Below are 21798 nucleotides of genomic sequence, written 5' to 3'. Positions count from 1 at the left end.
GGTGAAACCCCATCTCTACTAAAAATACAAAAATTAGCCAGGTATGGTGGCGGGTGCCTGTAGTTCCAGCTACTCGGGAGGCTGAGGCAGGAGAATGGCGTGAACCTGGGAGGCGGAGCTTGCAGTGAGCTGAGATCATGCCACTGCACTCCAGCCTGGGCGACAGACCGAGACTCCATCTCAAAAAAAAAAAAAAAAAAAAAAAGAGAAACTCAGACAATACAATGCTAAATGCACAGAAATAAATATCTAACTAGATTTTAAAGCATCTATTGGGGTAGTCTGGGGATAGCGAAATCTTCCCAGAACCTGCTAAAACACATCTTGTGGGGCACTGTGTATAAAACTGACCTAGTCACAGATACTATGTAGAATATGAGGAGACATCTGATTAGCAATGGTTATCCAAAAAGTCACTTTTACCTGTTGCTTTAATTCAAAATCAAAATCTTATAAGACAGAGGAAAAGGTGTAAGGTAGTCAGGTAGAAGAAATCAAGTACAGTTCTCCTACCTCAAATATTTTTTTAGAAGCCAAGAAGGGGCTCGTTCAGGTATTTTCACTAAAAAAGAGAATATACCATAAAATATCTGAAGTTAGGTCTTAAAAATCAATAAAACTTAATTTTTAACTTTCTTGACAATTACTTCATATATTTAATGGCTAGTTTAATTGAGCTTATCTTCAATTAACCTACCATTGTTTCATTCAGACACACAAAATATATGCATACATATTTCCCCTGGAAGCCTTTAAATTAAACTGTTTCAAGAGAACAGCAAACAATATAAATACCTAATCTATCTAATAAATGTTAAACATTCCAGAACTGAATTTATCTATGTTAGGATCTATGAAAGACAGTGACAGGTACACTAAGGTAACCAACATTTTTAGAGCCAATCTAGGACACAGATATACCAGACCAAAAAATAGTCTAACATATAATAATTACATACACATATTATTTTAAAATGAAATATGAAAAGTGTTTAACATTTTTATTATTCTATATTATTTACTTTGCTGTTACATACAGGTGATTAGGCAAAACAACAACAGGACTAGTTAACAGTGGCAATTAGTAGTAATAGTAGAACAGATTAATAGTATGTGTGAGAAAAGTAATTTTTTTATAATGTTTCTCTCCTCTGATACACATTTTAGCTCTTTAGTGGATATTTAAGTTTTATATGTCATATTATTATTGTATATTCTTAGGTTATAGATAAGACCTTTTAAAAGATCAATGTAAATATTTATTAAAAACTAACAATGACATATTTCTTAGTGTCCCATGATAAAGTAGGATATTTTTGCTCTTCCTGTTTCTTTTTCCAATAATACTTCTCTGAACTGCCTGCAGCCTTTGAGATATCTTTCTTTGATGTAGTGATTAAACAGTGTATTCTCACTTAAATGCGAAATTCCCTTTGACTTTCAGATCTGCTCTTATCAAGCCCACATTACACTGCTCCTGGTATCATTCCAATGCAATGACATCAAGTTAGATATCCTGTCAACAAAAATGTTTTCAGCATGGAATACAGTTGGCATTGTTTGTGTGGGCTCCACATCCGTGGATTTAACCAACTGAGGATGGAAAATATTTAGGAAAAAAATGCATCTGTACCAAACACGTGCAGACTTTTTTCCTTGTCATCATTCCCTAAACAATATAGTCTTACAACTTTTTACATAGCATTCACATTGTATCAGGTATTATAAGTAATCTAGAGATGACTTAAAGCATACTGGAGGATATGCATAGGTTATATGCAAACACTATGCCATTTTACAACAGGACTTGAGCATATGCAGATTTTGGTATCTGTAGGAGATCCTGGAAACAATCCTCCATGATACAAAGGGATGACTGTATTTAGACTTTACTTATTAGCAACGGCAGGTATTTAGACTTGTAGGAATTGGTTTCCAGCTTTTCAAAACTGTCCACTCACTTTGTATCTGTAGACCTATTTTGGTAGACTAACTGTTTGTCATTTAGGCCCTTTGCATCTATAAATTCATCATGTAGGGTCTCCATATCTAAAATATCCTGTTTATAGATAGATTATCTAAAGCACATTGAATGTCATTATAAGTTAAACTTCTCTTTCTCAGGGAAAATGTTTTTAAAGCACTGAGGTAATCTGAACTTAAACTGAGCATAGATTACAAATAAATTATAATTTTAGTACTGTTTAACTTGTATGCTCCTTTCTGGTGACATATTTTTGAGTTCTGAGTCAGTCTTATTTCTTCCCAAATGTCATTTTTTACCATACACGTCTTTGTCACAACCTACATATAATATCAAATAACTCAGGTACATGTCTAAGGAGGATATCTTCTTCCATTTCCATAAAGTCAGAAGTCTCATTCAGTGCTTCTGTATGTTTTCAGGAAATTAAAAAGTGACCCCAAACTTTTATTATAAAAGCCTCAATGTCACAGGCTAGCAAATCATACCCTTCACAGTACAACATATGGAAGACATTTAGTGGGTAAGATCTTTTCATTTTCTTTGATAAGAAGTTCACAGACTGAATGAAACATGCCAAAATTTACATTTTCATTGCCAATAATGCAGATTGATGAGCAAAGTCTAGTTAGTTTTTGGACAAAATATTAGCTAGCAATATTTGGTTTTATGTTTTCTTTGGTTTCATTAAAATATTCATAGAAATCAAGATTATTTGAAACCTCACTTTTCAAATCAAAGTACCTAAAAGCCATGGGGATTTTTTCTTTTGTTGCCATGATTCAGTGTATCACTTGATACACTGTAGAAAACATTATTGTTGGTAAGATCTGACAAAATGAGCTCTACCCTTTAAGAGGCCAACACATCTTTTACAAAATTTTCCCTTTGTTGACCGACGGGATATTTTAGTCGTAACCTTTGAACCAGGAAATGTAATTTTACTTTGTTTCATCAAGCAATCAAGGGAATGAATGATGTGATAAGCATTCATTTGTTGATGTGATAAGCATTCATTTGGGTGGTATGCCCAAGCAAATTCACCAGTTATTATGTTCAACTGAGCATTGGTATCTTCTTGGGTCATAAAAACACTTTCAATTGATTTAGAAGTACTTGCTTGTCTCTTCCAGGACTCCTGAGATTCAGTCTTCATATGTGCTTTCACATCCTTTCCTTTATAATGCACAATCCCAAATTCTTTTCTGCATATTTTGTCATATGCTCTATTTTGCGTATCTTCCTAGTTGTATATGTTCTTCCGCCAGTCATTAAAAGAATAGCCATGTATGTCCTTCCTTCTTCCCTTTTTCTTTCTTTCTTTCTTTCTTTCTTTCTTTCTTTCTTTCTTTCTTTCTTTCATTCTTTCTCTTTCTTTCTTCTCTTTCTTTCTTCCCTCTTTTTCTTTTTTGGTGATGTTCTATTTTGGGTATCTTCCTAGTTGTATAAGTTCTTCCACCAGTCATTAAAAGAATAGCCCTATCTATCTATCTATCTATCTATCTATCTATCTATCTATGTATCTATCTATCTATCTATCTATCTTTCTTTCTTTCTTTCTTTTTCTTTTTGTTTTTTTCTCTTTTTCTTTTTTGGTGATGTTCTATTTTGGGTATCTTCCTAGTTGTATATGTTCTTCCACGAGTCATTAAAAGAATAGCCATATATATCTCTTTCTTTCTTTCTTTCCTTCCTTCCTCCCTCCCTCCCTTCCTTCCTTCTCTGTCTGTCTGTCTGTCTGTCTCTCTCTTTCTTTCTTTCTTTCCTCTTTTTCTTTTTTGGTGACATTTGGGCCATGCTGGCATTGGTATTATACTCATTCTCTTTTCATTGTCTGAACTCTTAGGAAACATGATCCCAATATACACAACACTGAAATTAAGTTAGTGCTATCTCAATGTAAGCAAAACAGTTAACTCACAGGTAAAGTCAAAGATTAATTTTTTTTTTTTGAGAGAGAGTCTGTCTCTGTCACCCAGCCTGGAGTGCAGTGGCATGATCTCAGCTCACTGCAACCTCCGCCTCCCAGGTTCAAGCAATTCTCCTGCCTCAGTTTCCCAAGTAGGTGGGACTACAGGTATGTGGAACTACACCCAGCTGATTTTTGTAGTTTTAGTAGAGACAGGGTTTCACCATGTTGGCCAGGCTGATCTTGAACTCCTGACCTCAGGTGATCTGCCTGCCTCAGCCTCCCAAAGTGCTGGGATTACAGGCGTGAGCCACTGTGTCCTGCCCAAAGATGAATTGTTAGCACTCCAGATTGCAACACACTTAAGTTGCACTTCAGTACCCCCGTCCACTCAGAGTGATGCTCCCCTGGATGATCCATTATTGTGAGCAGCAAAAATCATGGTTGCCAACATCAGCAGTCAAGGGGAAAAAAAGTGACAGTGACTTTGAATGGTGGGTAATCTATGATGTATCCAATTAGCACAAAAAACAGTGTTGCTTCCATTTTCTATTTTGGGGAACTGAAAGCAAAGATAACATATGGCTTTTGTATTTTCTTGCCTTTTAAAATGCTTTAAAATCTTTTGTTGGTCACAGGACAGTGGGTAACAAAAACTGAAGTTAATAGGCCTTTACTATGGGGTTTTATATTAATCTGACAAGGAATTGGACTGTTTAATGTTTGCTGTAGCCACTAGTATCAAAGGCTTGGAATTCCTCTAGGATATTTGTTTTTGTCTCTCCTGTTGTCTTTAGGATTTCCAAAGAACGACTTATCAGATAGAATCTGTCTTTCTTGCTGCTTTATCAGCTGTAAACCACTGTTATTATACTGGAGTCATGTTGGTGTGGTGGTAAGGTATGGGGGAGAGGAAGTATCCTATAAACTTATTTTTAAATCTCAGTCTAAGTGGGCCTGTGTTCCTGGGCTATGACCTTAATAAGTGTTTCTTAGCTTTTCTTCCTCCAACCCTCCAGTGAGACAGGAAGACTAGAGGAGGCTGGAGTTGCAGAAATATCCCTCCCCGAAAATAGGATAAGGTTCTGGTAAAGACTGTTCACCTTGTGAACTTAGCAGAGTTCCAGGCTTAACATGAGTGACTCTATCTTGGGCTACTTACTCCATGTTGAACTGCTGATGAACTGTGAGACCAACAAGGGAACTATGAAAACCAAGTTCCTTTGCAAACATCTGTGCTCTCAACAATACAAGGAAACTGATCCCAGTCTTTAAGGGATTCTGTATATAATTTTTCCTTGCCAGCTGTTGCAAATGCACCATTCTACTAATGATTAAAGCCTTCTTTGTTTGGTAAACCAATGAAAAATCTGACAAACAACTTATGTAATCTGAATAAATTCCTATAAATGTAAGGCCTCTTGCTCCTCTTGGGTGGTATGGTCTCTGACTACTACCCAGGTTGCAATTCCTATTCTGAATAAATGCTTCATTTGTCTCTAACCTATTGATTTTCTCCTTTTAGAGTTAACACCCTAAGAGAGTAGGCCCTTGTTACGGAGAATGCTCTGGGTGTATTTCACAATGTTTACTCTTCTTCTCCCCTTTCCAGAGCAACTAAGAGGTCTTTCTTGGCTCTATGAGAACCTGGTGGGATTCCTGAAGATAAAGTCCACAAAAATGAAGCTCCAGACAAGACTATGGCCACCAGGAGTTTCTCACTTTCAAGCTAGTGCGCACTCAGCCTCTGGCAATTTGTTAAAATCACTGTTTAAGTGTTCCTACCAGTTTATGATTCTAGCAGCTTCTGCCTCAGACAAGCAGATCTCAGCAGTGACTCCCTGGATTCGTCTGTCTCTTCAGATTTCAGGGTAGTAGTTTACTTGTCAGCCTCAGTTCTCTGATGGATCCAATAAGTTGCTGATTTTTAGTTTGTTCAGCTTTTTTGTTGTTGTAAGGACAGGAATGTTGACTTTCAAGCATTATTCATGTTGCAGCTAAAACGAGAAGGCCCCTTATTATCTGTTTAAATAGTAAGTCTATATTTTCTTCTAAGAGTAGTTTTAACTCCTACATTTGTTTCTGTGATCCATTTTTTATTATTTTTAGTGTATGGTATAAGGAACACGGCCAACTTCATTCTTTTGCATGTGGATATCCAGTTGTCCCAGTACCATTTGCTGAAAAGACTATTTTTTTTCCCCATCCAATTGTCCTGGCATCTTTGTTGAAAAATCAATTGAAATATATATAAAGGTTTATTTACATATTTTCAATCCTATTTCATTTATCTATATGTTTACCCTTAGGCCAGTACCACACAGTCTCAATTACTATAGCTTGGTAGTCAGTTTTGAAATCAGGAATCCTTAAACATTGTTCTTTATCAAAATTGCTTTGGTTATTCTGGGTCCCTTGTATTTCCATATAAATTTCAGATTTGGTTTGTTAGTTTCTGCACAAAAGGTAGCTGACATTTTGATAGGGATTGCACTGAATCTATCAATTTGAGGAGTATTGCCATCTAGCAATATTAAATCTTCTGATCCATGACCAGAGTTATCTTGCCATTTATTTAAAGCTTCTTTAATACAGTTCAACTGTGTTTTTTGTAGTTTTCAGTTTATAAGTCTTGTACTTCTTTTGTAAAATTTATTCCTAAGTATTTTGTTCTTTTTGATGCTAATGTAAATGGAATTGTTTTCTTAATTTCATTTTTTAAATGTTCATTGCTAGTGTATAGAGATACAATTGATTTTTATAACAGGTTTTTGAGATGTAATTCACATACCATACAGTTCATTCATTACAACTGATTTTTGCCTATTGATCTTTTATCCTGCAACCTTGTTGAACTCATTTATTAGTGCTAATAGTGTGGCGTGTGTATGTGTGTGTGTGTGTTCCTTCGGATTTTCTATATACAAGAACATATATCCTACAAATAGAAATGGCTTCGCTTTTTTCTTTCTAATTTGGATGCCTTTTTTTTTTTCTTGCCTTATTGCCCGGCTGAAGCCTTCATTATAATGTTGAATAGAAGTGTTGAGAGTGAATATCCCTGTCTTGTTCCAGGTCTCAGGGAGAAAAGCATTTAGTCTTGCACTACCAACTATGACATTAGCTGCAGGATTTTTGAAGATGGCTTTTTTTTTTTTAGTAGAGGAAGATTCTATCTTTCCTAATTTGTTGAGTGTCTCTTTTTTAATCATGAAAGAATGTTGGATTTTGCCAGATACTTTTTCTGCATCTATTGAGATGACCATGTGCCTTTTTCTTTATATTCTATTAACATGGTATATTATATTGTTTAATTTTCATAATTTCGTATGCTAAACTAACCTTGCATTTCTGGGATAAATCCTATTTGGTCATTGTGTATAATCCCTTTTGGTTTGCTAGTATTTTCTCTTACTTTTTCATTCTAATTCTTAATAGATATAGAAGTTGGTTAAAAAAAAAGTTCAATTTATTTGGCCCCTGAAATCTTAACAATTACCTTTTCTGAGAAACCTTTTCTGATTTGCTCCTACCCACAAACAACTCCGATGTAACCCCATAACACAATAAGTAGCATTTGTTTCATATTACTATGTCTATTTACTTGTCACCCACTCTGCTATATTTTATTTACCATTGTACCCAAGTGTCTGGCACAACCACTTACTATTACAAGTTGGGACTTCTGGGAAGCAGAGAAACATCAGATTTTTAAAAGAACATGAACAACAATGGAAAGATTATGTAACAAAGGTTGAATATAAGAGAGTGGATAAACCATAGAATAGTTTCAGGATGATTAAACCTCAAATAAACCAAGATTTGAAAAAAATGTTGACAACAAAATTTTATGTAGCTATATTCAGAATAAAAATATACCAATGAATGTTCAGATTTATACTTCTGGAATTATTTTGTAATATTTATGGATGACAAAGAGCAGAGTTCCTCAGCTCATAAGTTACTTTTCTCTTTCTATTAAACAGAGTTTTCCTCTAACTGGAAAAGGAGAATAAATATTGGAAGAGATGAGAGAAATCATAAGGCTCTGAATGAGTTCTCTCCATCCCAGATATATTACAAGTAAGGAAAGCATTTACATATAAGGTCACAGAACCATTGACAATAGTCTTTTAAGAAGTCAAGGAAGTGATTTTCCTCTCCACCCTAAATGCCTAACTTCTCAGTTAAGACTACATCATGATTTAAAGATTAAATTCTTTAAGAAATCATTCTTGCAGATTTCCAGGTGGATTAGATTCCCTTCTCTGAGCCAGCAGACCAACTTGTGCGTAACTGTGACTCAATCCATCTCACTCTTATTTTAAGGAACTGTTTGAATCTTATTAAACCTTGGTGCTTATGCCTTAAATGATGAGTAGCTAGTCTAGTTTAAGAGAGGGAGAAGTATATTTCAGGCAGTGAAGTCAGTATGAGCAGAAGCAAGGAGGTGAGAAGACTGATATTTGCTGAGGCAACAGGATCATCTTTGTAAATGTCAGGGTCAGAGGATCACTGGAAGTCTTTCATGTCATGTTAGAGAACTTGGTTTCTATGCTGCAGCTAGAAATTGTCAAAAAATTTTTTATTTCTCAGAGTAATGTCAGCAAGATGGCTAACTAGAAGACCCTAGTTCACAGCCCTCAAAAAGAACAATGAATAAACAATTACACTTGACCTGTGAACAACACAGGTTTGAACTGTGTGGATCCACTTATACACAGATATTTTTCAACCAAACATGATAAAAAATACTGTATTCAAAGGATGTGAAACCCATGTACATCAAGCGTCAATTTTTTGAAAATGTGGGTACAGGGCTGACTGTGGGACTTGAGTATGTGTAGATTTTGGTATACATGGGGGTCCTGGAACAAATCCCCCACATATACTGAGGGGCAACTATATGTTTTAATGAAAATAACTAAGGGAGAGCACCAGAGTGCATGAGAGGAGTAACAGAAACCCTGGTGAGTGCAGAAACTAGGGAAGGCCATATGGAAAATGGAAGGAAACACCAGGACTCCACCACCCCATCCTCCAACCACGGTCAGCTGGGAATCAGGAGGAACTTCTTCCTACAGCAAGGAAGAGAAAGCAAGAGGATCCCAGTAACCTCCATCAACACATTAGACACCTACTGACTTCACCACTGAGGTCCCTGCATTCCTTACAGGCACAGTCCTTCCTCACAGCTGAAGGAGCTGCCTGGACTCCACTAGCTGTGCTCCCCCCAGAGAAGGAGCTGTCATCTTGGAACTGGAACTACAGCAGAAGTATGTCTTGCACCAGGGGTGAGTAGCTATAGCTCCCCTTCATCCCTGAGACTAGGCTGCTATGGAAACACCCCAGGGCTGGTGGTCCAACATCCTCAAACTGAGCTCTCTGAAACTCAACTGAAGCTGTTACACTCTCCCTCCCCTTTCACCCTTAGGGTGGAGCTTAGGTGGTACCCTACCTCCTGGGAAAACAGTACCTTGGCTGCTCAGTGTAGTCATGCCTCCCCAGTGCCTAACTTAAAGCAGTACTCTGTATCCCAGGAAATGGTGCCTTGGTCACTCAGAGTGGTCACGTACCCCAGTACCTAAGCTGGAGTCGTGCCCTGTATCCCAGGGAAATGGTGCCTGGGCCACCCAGAATAGTCACAGCCCCCAGCCCTGAGCTGTAGCAGTACATTTCCCCTTGGAGGATCGGTGCCCTGGCTGAGCTGAGCAGCTGTGCATCCCAGGACTGAGCTGACGTAGTACCCTGTGTCCCAAGGAAATAGCAATGGCTGAGCTGAGATGCCCCACCCTACAGGCCAAACAACTAGAGTATTCTGTTTCCCTAGAGTTGAACTAGCCCCTTAGAGTCTGAGCTGCTGAGATACCCCCTCCCTGGAAAATGGAGTCATTGCTCTGCTGGGCCCTCTAGGGCCCAGATGACAGCTGTAGTTCACCACACTGGGGTACTTGCTGCCAATGCACCTGGCCTCACAGAGTCTGTGATATACTGACCCTCACTATTCCAGGGTCTAAAGTCACTACTACACAGTGCTTCATCCACTGGAATCTGGGTTATCACTGAGTCTTATTGCCTCAGGTTCCTGAATTGCAGCCATATCCTGCCTGCTGGGCCCAAACTTCCAGAGCGCTCCTTCCTCCCCAGAGTCAGGCCAGTGCTGAGTCCAGCTTAGAAGTAGAATTACAGCTACAACCTGGCCCCATGGGATGCCTCAGATTCACAGATCCTGGCTCTGTGGAGGAACCTACATCCAACTCTGCCATAGAGAGTGAACATGCACTGGAAGACCCAGGTACCACAATAGTTTCATGAGTCCTTGAGTCTAAGACCCTGGTCCCACAACCACTCCAAGCACCTGCACCTGGAACCCCACACCACTGCAGCTGCTTGTAGGTTGTGTCAGTCTTGACAACAAGAGGGATCTCTTCAGCTAAGTCTTCCCACTATGGGGAAAACAAAAATAGGAAGACCTCAAAAGCCCTTAACAGTGAAGAGATGAACAACCTTTGCTGCTGCTGCCACAAACCTCTGCAGCCTATACCACTGAGGCAACCACAGTTATTGCTTATGTTGAATACAGACAAAACTTCATGGAGACTATACCACTGCACCTATCCAGAAACAAGTCAGCACATCCTTCCCAAATGGCACACAGAAACCCAACTGTAGGTGAAAGTCTCCCTACAAGAGCCACTGTGGAAAGTTTGGAAGGGACAGTCATTCCACCAGATGCACAGGCATCAATGCAGGGACACAAGCAACACTAAAAAGCAAGGAAATATGACACCACTAAAGAGCCATAATAGCTTTCTAATAACAGACTCCCATGAAAAGGAAATCAACAAATTGCTGGAAAAAGAATTCAATGAGAAATTGAGGAAACTCAATGAGATACAAGAAAATACAGACAGATAATTCAGTGAAATTAGGAAAACAGTTCATAATGTGAATAAGAAATTCAACATAAATAGATATAATAAAAAAGAAATATCACAGCTGAAACATTCAATGAATGAAATAAAAATTACAATAAAGAGCTTTGATGGCAGATTTAAGCAGAAGAAAGAATCTCTGAACTTAAAGACAGGTAGTCTGAAATACTCAGTAAGAGGAAAAAAAAAAAGAATGAAAAACAGTGAAGAAAACCTGCAAGACATATGGGACACCATTAAGCAAACAAATATTCATATCATGGGAGTTAGAGAAGGAGAAGAGAAGGGAAAGGTATAGAAAACCAATTTCTTGAAATAATAGCTGAAAACTTCCCAAGTCCGGGGAGACATATGAGATCCAGATCCAGGAAACTCAAAGTTTCCCAAATAGACTTAACTGGAAAAAGGTCCTCACCAAGGCACATTACAGTCATATTGTCAAAAGTCAAGAACAAAGAATTCTACAAACAGCAAGAGAAAAGCATCAAGTCACACACAAGGGAATCATCATTAGACTAACAGCAGATTTCTTTGCAGAAACTTTACAGGCTAGAAGAGAATGGGATGATAAATTCAAAGTGCAGAATGAAAAAAAATTGCCAGTCAAGAATATGAGACCCAGCAAAGCTATCCTTCAGATAAATAAAGTCTGTCATAGACAAGCAAAAACTGAAGTAATTTATCACCACTAGACTGGTCTTACAAGAAATAATCTAGGGAATACTACATTTGGAAGGAAAAAGATAATAATCACTATCATTAAAACATATAAAAGTATAAAACTCACTGGCAGAACAGATACACAAAAGAGAGAAAAGAATTAAACCTTATCAGTATAGAAAACCATTAAATGACAATGATAAACAATAAGAGAGAAGGAAAGGATCAATGGATGTACAAAACAACCAGAAAACAACAAAATATAGGAGTATGTCCTCACCTATTAATAAAAACCTTAAATGTAAGTGAATTAAATTCCCCACTTAAAAGATATAGACTGAATGGATTTTAAAAACCAACTATATGCTGCCTACGGGAAACTTATTTCACCATAAAGACACATTTAGGCTGAACTGAAGGGATGGAAAAAATATTCCACACAAACAGAAACCAAAAGTGAGCAGAAGTATCTATACTTATATCAGATAAAACAGACTTTAAGTCAAAAACTGTAAACAAGAGACAAAGAAGGTTATAAGGATAAAGGATCAACTCAATAAGAAGATATAATGATTGTGAATACATATGCACCCCACACTGGAGCACCCAGAAACATAAAGCAAATATTATTAGATCTAAAGGGAGAGATAGAATTTGATATAATAATATCAAAGAGGACTTTAACACATCACTGTCATCACTGGACAGATCATCTAGTCAGAAAATAAAAAAGAAACATTGAACTTAAACTGCACTTTAGAACAAATGAACCTAATAAACATTTAAGAACATTTCATCCAACAGGTGCAGAATACACATTCCTTCCATCAGCACATGGAATATCCTCTAAGACTTACGTTAGGGAACGAAATAATTTTCAAGAAATTTAAAATAACTGAAATAATATCAAGTATCTTTTCTGACCACAAAGGAATGAAACTAGAAGTCAATAACAAGAAGAACTTTCAAAATTGTATAGTTACATGGAAATTAGACAACATACTTCTGAATAACTACTGAAGACAGTAAAAAGGAAATTAAAAAATGTATTGAAACCAATGTAAATAGAAACACAACATACCAAAACCTATAGGATATAGCAACAGCAGCACTAAGAGGAAAGTTTATAGCAATAAATGCCTATATCCAAAAAGTAGAAAGATTTCAAATAAACAACCTAATTATGTAACACAAGGAACTAGAAAAGCAGGAACAAACCAAACCAAAAATTAGTAGAAGGAAAGAAATAATAAAGATCAGAACAGAGTATATGAAATTGAGATTAAAAATTATAAAAGATCAATGAAATGAAAAGTTGGTTTTTTTTGAAAGATAAAATCAACAAAACATTAGCTAGAATAACCAAGAGAAAAAAAGAAAAGACCCAAATAAAATCAGAATGAAAAAGACGTTACAACTGATAACACGGAAATACAAGGATCATTGGAGACCATTACAAACAACTGTACTCCAACAAATTAGAAAACTTAGCAGAAATGAATAAATTTCTAGACACATACAATCTACTAAGATTAAGCAAAGAAGAAATAGAAAACCCAAACAGACCAATTATGAGTAATGATTGAATCTGTAATAAAAAGTCTTCCATTGAAGAAAACCCCAGGACTTGATTACATCACTGTAGAATTCTACCAAACATTTAAAGAAGAACAAATACCAGTTCTTCTCAAACTCTTTTAGAAAATTGAAGATGAGGAAATTCTTCCAAACTTATTCTGTGTGACCAATATTACCCTGGTATCAACCAGACAAGGACGCAACAACAACAACAAAAGAAACCTATTGGCCTATGTTCTTGATAAATAAAGACGTAAAAGTCCTCAAAAAAATACTAACAAACCAAATCTCCTAAACCCAGCAGCACATTGAAAAAAATTATTCACCATGATCAAGTGGGATTCATCCGAGGGATGCAAGGATGAATCAATATACACATATTAATAAATGTGATACATTAATAAATGTGATACATCACATCAACAGGATGGAGGACAAAAACCCTATGATCATCTCAATATATGCAGAAAAAGCATTTGATAAAATTCAACATCTTTTTGTGACAAAAACTCTCACCAAATAAGGTATGGAAGGAATGTACCTCAACACAGTAAAGGCCATACAAGACAAACCCGCACCCAATATCATGCTGAATGAGGAAAAGTTGAAAGCTTTTCCCCTAAGATGTGGGACAAGATAATGATGCTTACTTTTGTTCAACATAGTAATGAAAGTTCTGGCCAAAGCAAACAGGCAAGAGAAAGAAATAAAGGGCATCCAAATTGGAAAGAAGGAAGTCAAATTGTCCCTGTTTGCAGATGACATGATCTTATATACAGAAAACCCTAAAGGCTCTATCAAATACTCCTAGAACTGATAAATTTAGTAAAGTTGGATACAAAACCAGCATACAAAGATCAGTGGTATTTCTATACCCCAAGAATAAACCATCAAAACAAGAAATCAAGAAAAACAATCCCATTTACAATAGCTACAAAAAATAATATGTAGGAATAAATTTAGCCAAAGAGGTGAAATATCTCTACAAGGAAAACTATACAACACTGATGAAAAAAATTGAGGAGGATACAAATAGACATCTCATGTTCATGGATTGGAAGACTTAATATTGTGAAAATGTCCATACTATCCAAAGTTATCTGTTCATTCAATGCACTCCCTATCAAAATACCAATAACATTCTTCACAGAAATGGAAAAAACAATCCTAAAATTTGTGCAGAACCATGGAAGACCCCAAATAGCAAAAGCAAATCCTGAGCAAAAGGAATAAAGCTGGAGGCATCACACTACCAGACTTCAAAATGAAGGCAATAGTAATCAAACCAGAATGGTTAAAAACATAAAAACAGATATGTAGACCAATGAGACAGAACAGAGAACCCCAAAATAAATCTACTTATTTACAGACAACTGATATTTGACAAAGGTGCCAAGAACATTCATAGGGGAATGATAATCTCTTCAATAAACTGTGCCAGGAGAGCTAGATATCAATACACAGAAAAATGAAACTGGACTCCTATCTCTCACCATAAAAAAGGTCAATTCAAAATGGACTAAGAACTTAAATGTAAGACCCCAAACTATGAAACTACCAGAAGAAAACACAAAGGAAATGCTTCAGGACATTGGTCTGATGAAAGATTTTATGGAGAAGACCTCAAAAGCCCAGGCAACTAAAGCAAATATAGGCAAATGGAATTCTATCAAACTGAAAATCTTTTGCACAGCAAAGGAACCAATCAACAGATAATCAAGAGATAACCTGCAGAATGGGAGAAAACATTTGCAAACTATCTGACAAGGGATTAATATCCAGAATATATAAGGGAATTACCTCAATAGCAAAAATAAACAAACAAAAATAACCTACTTTAAAAATGGGCAAATGAGCTGAATAGATATCTCTGAAAAAGAAGACATACAAATGGCCAACAGGTATATGGAACAATGCTCAACAGCACTAATCATCAGAGATATGCAAATTAAAACCACAAGGAGATATGGTCTCATATCTGTTAGAATAGCTATTATCAAAAAGATAAAAGATAACAAGTATTGGAGAGGATGTAGAGAAAAGGGAATCCCTGCACACTTTTGGTGGGAATGCAAATTTGTGCAGTCATTATGGAGAATAATATGGAGGTTACCCAGAAAACTAAAAACAGAACTACCATATGATACAGCAATCCCACTACTGGGTATATATCCAAAAGGAAGGAAATCAGTATGTCAAAGAGATATCTGCACTCTCATGGTCATTGCAGCACTATTCACAACAACCAAGATATGGAATCAACCTAAGTGTCCATCAACAGATGAAATGATAAAGAAAATATGGTATATATACACAATGGAATAGTATTTAACCATAAAAAAGAACAAAATTCTGTCATCTGTGGCAACATTGATGAGCTTGGAGGACATTATGTTAAGTGAAATAAGCCAGCCACAGGAAGATAAATACTGCATGTTCTCATTCATATGTAGAAGCTTAAAATGTTGATCTCATAGAAGTAGAGAGTATAGAATAGTGGTTAATAGAAGCAGAGAAGGATAGAGGGGTGGAAAGGATAGTCAAAGGTTGCTTAACAGATACTAATTACAGCTACATAGGAGGAATAGGGACTAGTGTTCCATAGAACTATAGGGTGAGTATAATTAACAATTTATTGTGTATTTTCAAATAGCTAGGAGAGCAGATTTTGAATGTACCAAACACAAAGAAATGATAACTGTTTGAGGTGATGCTAATTACCTCAATTTGATCATTATACATTGTATACATGTATCAAAATATCACACTGTACCCCATATGTACAATTATTACATCAACTAAAAATAATAATAAAAGGAAAAAATTTCGAGTTATAGACCATTATTGAAAGAAACATTGCATAAGAAAACTATTCAGGATGAAACAGGTTTGGTACAATTATTATGTCAATTAAAAATAATAAAGGAAAAAATTTTGAGTAATAGACCATTATTGAAAGAAAATTACATAAGAAAGCTATTCAAGATGAAAAAGGTTGGATGGGCTGGGCCCCAACTGCTTGGCCTCCAACCGATTTTCACTGTGGCCCCCATAGTGGTAACTTGCAAAGTGTGGTCTGCAAGTCATCAATGCCAGAATTATCTGAAATCCCATATAAACAATACAAATTATGGGGTGACATCAAAGACCTACTCGGTCAGAAGCTGAGATTTACATAAACTCTTTTGGTAATTCTTTTGTTCACTAAAATTTTAAAACCAGATATTCTATAAGACAACTTGCCAGTAATCTTTAAAAATGACAGTGTTGTGAATGACAAAGAAAGGCTGAGCCAATGTTCCAAATTAAGAGAATAAAGAAATATGATAATTCAATGCAATTCATGATCCCGTATTACACCTTGAATTAGATAGTAAGTTTGCTCTAAAGAACACTATTGGGATATTTGGCAAAACTGAATTATATACGATACAAAATAGTGTTGTATCAAGTTGAATTTCCTGATTTTAATGTAAGAGAATGTTCTTTTTCTTAGAGAATGGATAATGGGAAAAAAGATAGATTGATTAATAGAGAGAGAGAGAAAGTTTTTTTTACTATTCTTGAAATTATTTTAAAATTAAATGTAAAAAGAAATTAAAATGAGAAAGAGAAAGCCTAAAGAAAAGGCAGTGCCAGTCTTAGGGCAGTGTCAGTCCAACCCCTGTTAGATGACTGGGAATCACTAAAAGGCTTTTTTAGGTGGTGAGGTTGTATAGTCAGATTTGTGTTTCTGGTAAATCACTTTGATGGTAGTATGAAGGGTGTAATTAGAATGACAATATTGGTGGCAGGGAGACTGACTAGAAAACTACAGAACTCCTGGTAAGTGGATGATGATAAGAATCTGAAAAGAATGATGGTAATGATGGTAGTTAAGATAGAGAAAAAGAGATTCTGAGGTAAAATCATACATATTCAGTGGCTGACTGGATATGAGGGACAGAAGTGAAAGCGAGAAAAAAGGATACCAATCAGATTTGTAGCTGGAGTGGTTATGGAGATAGTACTGCCATCAATGTTATTGAGAATATGTGAGGAAGAGCATTTAGTGTGGAATTAGATGAATTTGAATTTGGATATGTGGGACATCTGTGTGGAGATGTATAGCAGATAGTTACCTACAGGGTCTGAAGCTTTGACAAGAGGTCAAATACATGTATCTATGTATATGTATATATACACATACATATATGTATTCACACATGCATATATATATAGTATAACAATATGACATAATAGTTCATGAAAGGCCGAACCTAAGAAGGTTAAATTTAAATTTAACAGGAATAAATTTAAGGTCAAGCACAATGAACCAAATAATAAGTGAAGAAGTAGAGAATGGAGGAGATACAACTTAGCGGTAGCACTATGAAAATAAAACGTTAAAGGTTTGAATATGTGAAATCCAATATGTCAAGATTTTAGAATAATTTTCAAAAGAAGAAATATAATCTTAAACTGCATTAATGGAAAACTAGTATCTATAAAGGAGCAAATAAAAATAAAGATATATTTTGCACTCATTAGACAACATCTGCAATACTGTGTTCAGTTTCATTTAAGCTTGAATAGCAATAAAAAAGAGTAAAATAAAATGGTAAAGGGACTTGAATCACGGTGTTTTATGGATGGTTGAAAGAAACGGAAAATTTCAGGGAAATAAATGACAGCTTTTTAAAAAATAGAGAAGGTATTACAATTGCATTATTTCAAGGAGAATTGGGGAAAATGAGTCAGTTGGAATTATTTACCTTTAAGGTTTCTTCACTATTTTGTGTTATTAGAGAGGACAGATTAAAAGAAGTGGATGAAATTTACAAGGACACATATTTTAAACTTTTTACTGTTAAAGTTTATTGAAAGTAAACTTTTTCAATGCTACAGCTCTTTAGCAATGGAATGAATTATATTGCAATTTAGTAAAGTACTTGTCACCAAGTGTAGTCAACCAGAGGTTGGATGAGCCTGGGGCCTGTCATGGGCAGAAGGTGAAACTAGAGCATTCTCAAGGTTTCTCTCTGCTCTAAGATTTGGTGAGATGGGAATGAAAAGATTAGACAATGAGATGAATATTCTTTTGTTTTGGTTTTGACTGGGTAAAATTAAAAGCAAATTGACATACAGTAAATTTCTACTGTTTCCCCTGTGTATTTCTAGAGCTAGAGAGAAAAATAACATTCAGATCATAGGGGACCACTCATTACTGTCTGTGTTCCTATTTTACTCACCCAAACCTTGATTAGGTAATTGTCTTCTGAAATAATCAACCATATAATCATCTGGTTCATTTGGCCTTGTATCTAGAGAAGATGATAAAGATCATAGTAGCATGAAAATAACTCGCCCATTTACATTTCATATTTTTCATCTTTTTTCAAAGTGGAAAATGCTAGTAAATAACTTGTAGACAGTAGTTTAGTTCAATGAAATTAAAATAAGCAGTCTTCAAATGTTACAAATTTTTGTTGCATTTAAAAATGTTCATACCTTTTGGGCCAGCAATTCCTTTTCTAGGAATTTGTTATAAAGAAATAAGAAAACACACAAATAGACAGTTATAAAGTTTTCATTGTTGTTTACAATAGGAAAAAATTTGGAAACAAAATGTAAGTTTAACACTGGGGGTGGCTTAATAGAATGGAATACTTTGCCACCATTTATTTACATATAAAGAGGTTTATAATATACTGTAATTTAAAATTAAAAAGTAGGTTGCAAAATAATGCGATGATTATGTGATTCATTAACATGGTGTGTATGTGGATAAATATAGGAACGCGTTTAAAATAAATATTCTAAAATGTAATGTTTACTTTCTTTTGCTTATCTTTATTTTTAATTTTTGACATTAAAATGTTAACAAAAGAATACATAAAAGTTACTTATAAAAAGCCGCTGAATATGCCTAGCTGACCATTATCAGAAAAAATAAAGTTTAAGTGAATTGACTATTTTAATTATAATAGTATTCTTCCCTTTCCTAGGCATGGTTCTTAGGTTCTTATCTCCACTTATATTTTTAATTATTTTGCTACATCATAAACTAAATGGATATATGAGTGTGTGTGTGTGTGTGTAATTAGGTTACCTCAAATCCTTTTGGGAAATAGGTAGATAAAAATGTACAATAAATTAATATATATATATATACACACACACATAAAAAATTAGGTATTTTAGATAAAATCAAAATATTGCTTAAATTATATGATTCCCCCTGCCAAAGGACCTCAACTAAAGATAAAATGACAGAATTAAGAAAAAAAAAAAAAAACAGAGATGCTAGAGAGTCAGTTAAAGATTCACATCAGACTTAGCAGGTTGCAGTAGAAGCCAATGAACAGTCTATGAATTAATTTCTCTCCTGGGCTTATCTTCTACTAAATTACAAAATGAGAGGGAAAAGATGGGTTTTAAAACATAAATGCCTTTCCCTTTGGGGGCAAGCCTTTCAAAACCTTAGGGATAGCCCTGAAATACGTGGACCTCTCTATTCTCCAATGTAATTGACCACTCCTTTCTCTCTGCTCCCTGGGAACCCTGAACAGACTACTGGCATTGTGTCTATGACACTGCGCTTGGATTGTTGTTGTTTCTTTCCTGATTAAAGGATGAGGTCCTGCAGGGAAGAAATGGTATCATATACATTTAATATCCCTAGCACCAAGCACAGTGGCAACCTCAAAGTTGTGGCACCAAAAATTCTTAGTTGAGTAAATGAATTAATTGTTTATGAGAAGGTAGAAGCAGAATATTACCTTTCACATCAGAATTTGATTGTGTGTGTCTTTGCAGCAAATGCCCTCTATCATAAACCTAATGGAATGTAGAATCAAAGAAAACAATGCTATTTTATCAACATGAAATGGGGTATATTTCCTATATGATTTATGGTATTGTGCATTTTTAACAAATATTTCTCATTTCATCCTTACAGGTTTAGAATGACCAAAATTATCTTATAAATCAGAGTCTTCTAATATTTTTCCCTACGCTACTTTTCTCCTGCATCAATGAGTAGAAGAAAATATTGATACTATATTTTGGCAGTAAAGGGGGCTTAAAAATTTTCCACATCACATAGAATGTATTTATAATGAGAAAGAGACAAAAAAATGGTATTCTTATAATCTCACTTATTTAAATTAGAACAACAAACATGGGAAGATAAAAGTGTGAAATGGGTGAAAAGATATAAAATTATGTAAAATATATAAACAGATTGCAAAACTGTGCTTATGTATAAAAAGATGAGGCTGGGCACGGTACACATCTGTAATCCCAGTACTTAGGGAGGCCAAGGCGGGCAGATCACTTGAGGTCAGGAGTTCGAGACAAGCCTGGCCAACATGGTGAAACCCCGCCTCTACCGAAAAAAAAAAAAAATTAGTGGGGAGTGGTGGCAGTCACCTGTAATCCCAGCTACTTGGAAGGCTGAGGCAGGAGAATTGCTTAAACCCGGGAGGCAGAGGTTGCAGTGAGCTGACATGGCGCCACTGCACTCCAGCCTGGGCGACAGAGCTAGACTCCGTCTCAAAAACAAAACAAAAACAAAAACAACCCACAATAAAAGTAGACTATGAAATGGAGTTAAAAGCTCAAACCCACCTCTTCATATATATAATTGATTGGCAGCAAAAAAATGGGCAAAATCAGTATGAAAATGGGAGAAAACTGTAAAAATCAAAATTTGATTATTGAAGAAAGGAAGAAACATTCTAGAAAAAATTACACAAATTTAAAAGTAGTGATATTATGCAATCACTAGCAAGACAAGGAGTGAAATCAGGCTGAAGAAAATTAGTAAGACTTGATTTGATAAACTCTTGTCATTTTTAGCTCCCATCTCTTAAGTGAAATGATTCTGTGAACCATAATAAACTGTTACATTCAATCCTACAGAAAAATATCACCAGGTCAGTGATCTTATGTACATGAGCTACAATTTCTGACCACAGTAATATATAATTGTTTGTGCTGAAATTCTTCAGAATCAACAAGTAAGAGTGTCTTGGTGGGAAACAAAGTTAACTGAAATATTTTTAAAATAATTTGCCAATATTATTTTAGGGATGTATTGATGTCTTCTTATAAGCAAACCAAGTAAGAAATAGTCAGTTCGAGAGCATGAATTTAAGTTGCCCTCAGCCATTTACCTGAGTGAAAGTGAGATTGTTCACTCTTTTTGTGAAAGAGGAGTAGGAATTTCAAGGTAAGTGACCACAATCTGCTATTAGCTTATGGGCACACTTAGAATGTATGCAACTTTCTCAAAGCATTTGACCAAATGAAGATTATTTTCCATTTGGAAGTATCTAACATTAAATATAATGATTTCATACAATTTTAAAAGCTCCAATCAAGAAAGACGCAAATACATGAGCATTTAATATAAAGGGATTTATAATATTTTACATTAAATGTAGCTTGGATACGTGAGGAAAACCACTCTGTGGATATATTTATGAGAACTAAATAAATATGTGTCTTGCAATATATACATTAAAAAAAAATCCCCTAACAAAAACCTATTTTGGTTATTGGGTCCTGCAAATGACTTAACACAGGGGTAACAATTAGAGGATTTGTTTACCATAAATAAAATTTTAATTCCTATTCATATTACATTCCTGAAATAATGTAATTCTAGAAGAGAGAGCAGAGGAAAAGGAGCATTACTCCTTTATAGCCATCTCTGCTCCCTGCAGTACTAAGCCTCTGATGTTGGT

General features: G+C 35.4%; 2 protein-coding genes across 12 annotated transcripts in view, besides 1 other annotated feature; one reads left to right on the top strand and one right to left on the bottom strand.

The window, feature by feature from the left end:
* Positions 1-7785, top strand: part of CYREN (cell cycle regulator of NHEJ) — an 80167-nt gene extending 72382 nt beyond the window's left edge. Inside the window, exon 4 of one of the 2 annotated variants that reach the window (XM_017012595.2) lies at positions 5506-7785. Coding sequence is in view for 1 of the 2 variants with exons in the window: in NM_001305630.2 (NP_001292559.1) it covers positions 5506-5514 (9 nt within the window). In the remaining variant the exon portion in view is untranslated. The remainder of the gene's footprint in view (positions 1-5505) is intronic. The other variant, NM_001305630.2, reaches the window with a different exon arrangement.
* The window catches only part of AGBL3 (AGBL carboxypeptidase 3), a 149271-nt gene that overhangs the window by 35691 nt on the left and 91782 nt on the right, over positions 1-21798 (bottom strand). For 9 of the 10 annotated variants that reach the window (NR_144293.1, NR_160300.1, NM_178563.4 and 6 more), the window contains 2 exons: positions 19828-19885; positions 18298-18369 (listed from right to left, as the gene is read on the bottom strand). The exons of the other annotated variant lie outside the window; for it this stretch is intronic. Coding sequence is in view for 7 of the 9 variants with exons in the window: in NM_178563.4 (NP_848658.3) it covers positions 18298-18369; positions 19828-19885 (130 nt within the window). In the remaining 2 variants the exon portion in view is untranslated. The remainder of the gene's footprint in view (positions 1-18297; positions 18370-19827; positions 19886-21798) is intronic. 10 annotated transcript variants of the gene reach the window in all.
* Positions 20945-21145: a silencer, noted in NCBI's record as "peak6750 fragment used in MPRA reporter construct". NCBI's record gives its function as "represses an SCP1 promoter by STARR-seq MPRAs in K562 erythroleukemia cells {active_cell/tissue: K562}" and the evidence as "EXISTENCE:reporter gene assay evidence [ECO:0000049][PMID:32103011]".

This window comes from Homo sapiens, chromosome 7 (genome assembly GCF_000001405.40).
Source record: "Homo sapiens chromosome 7, GRCh38.p14 Primary Assembly".
Classification (NCBI taxonomy): domain Eukaryota; kingdom Metazoa; phylum Chordata; class Mammalia; order Primates; family Hominidae; genus Homo; species Homo sapiens.
Note: the sequence above shows the minus strand (reverse complement) of the source record. Positions and strands in the feature narration are given on the sequence as shown.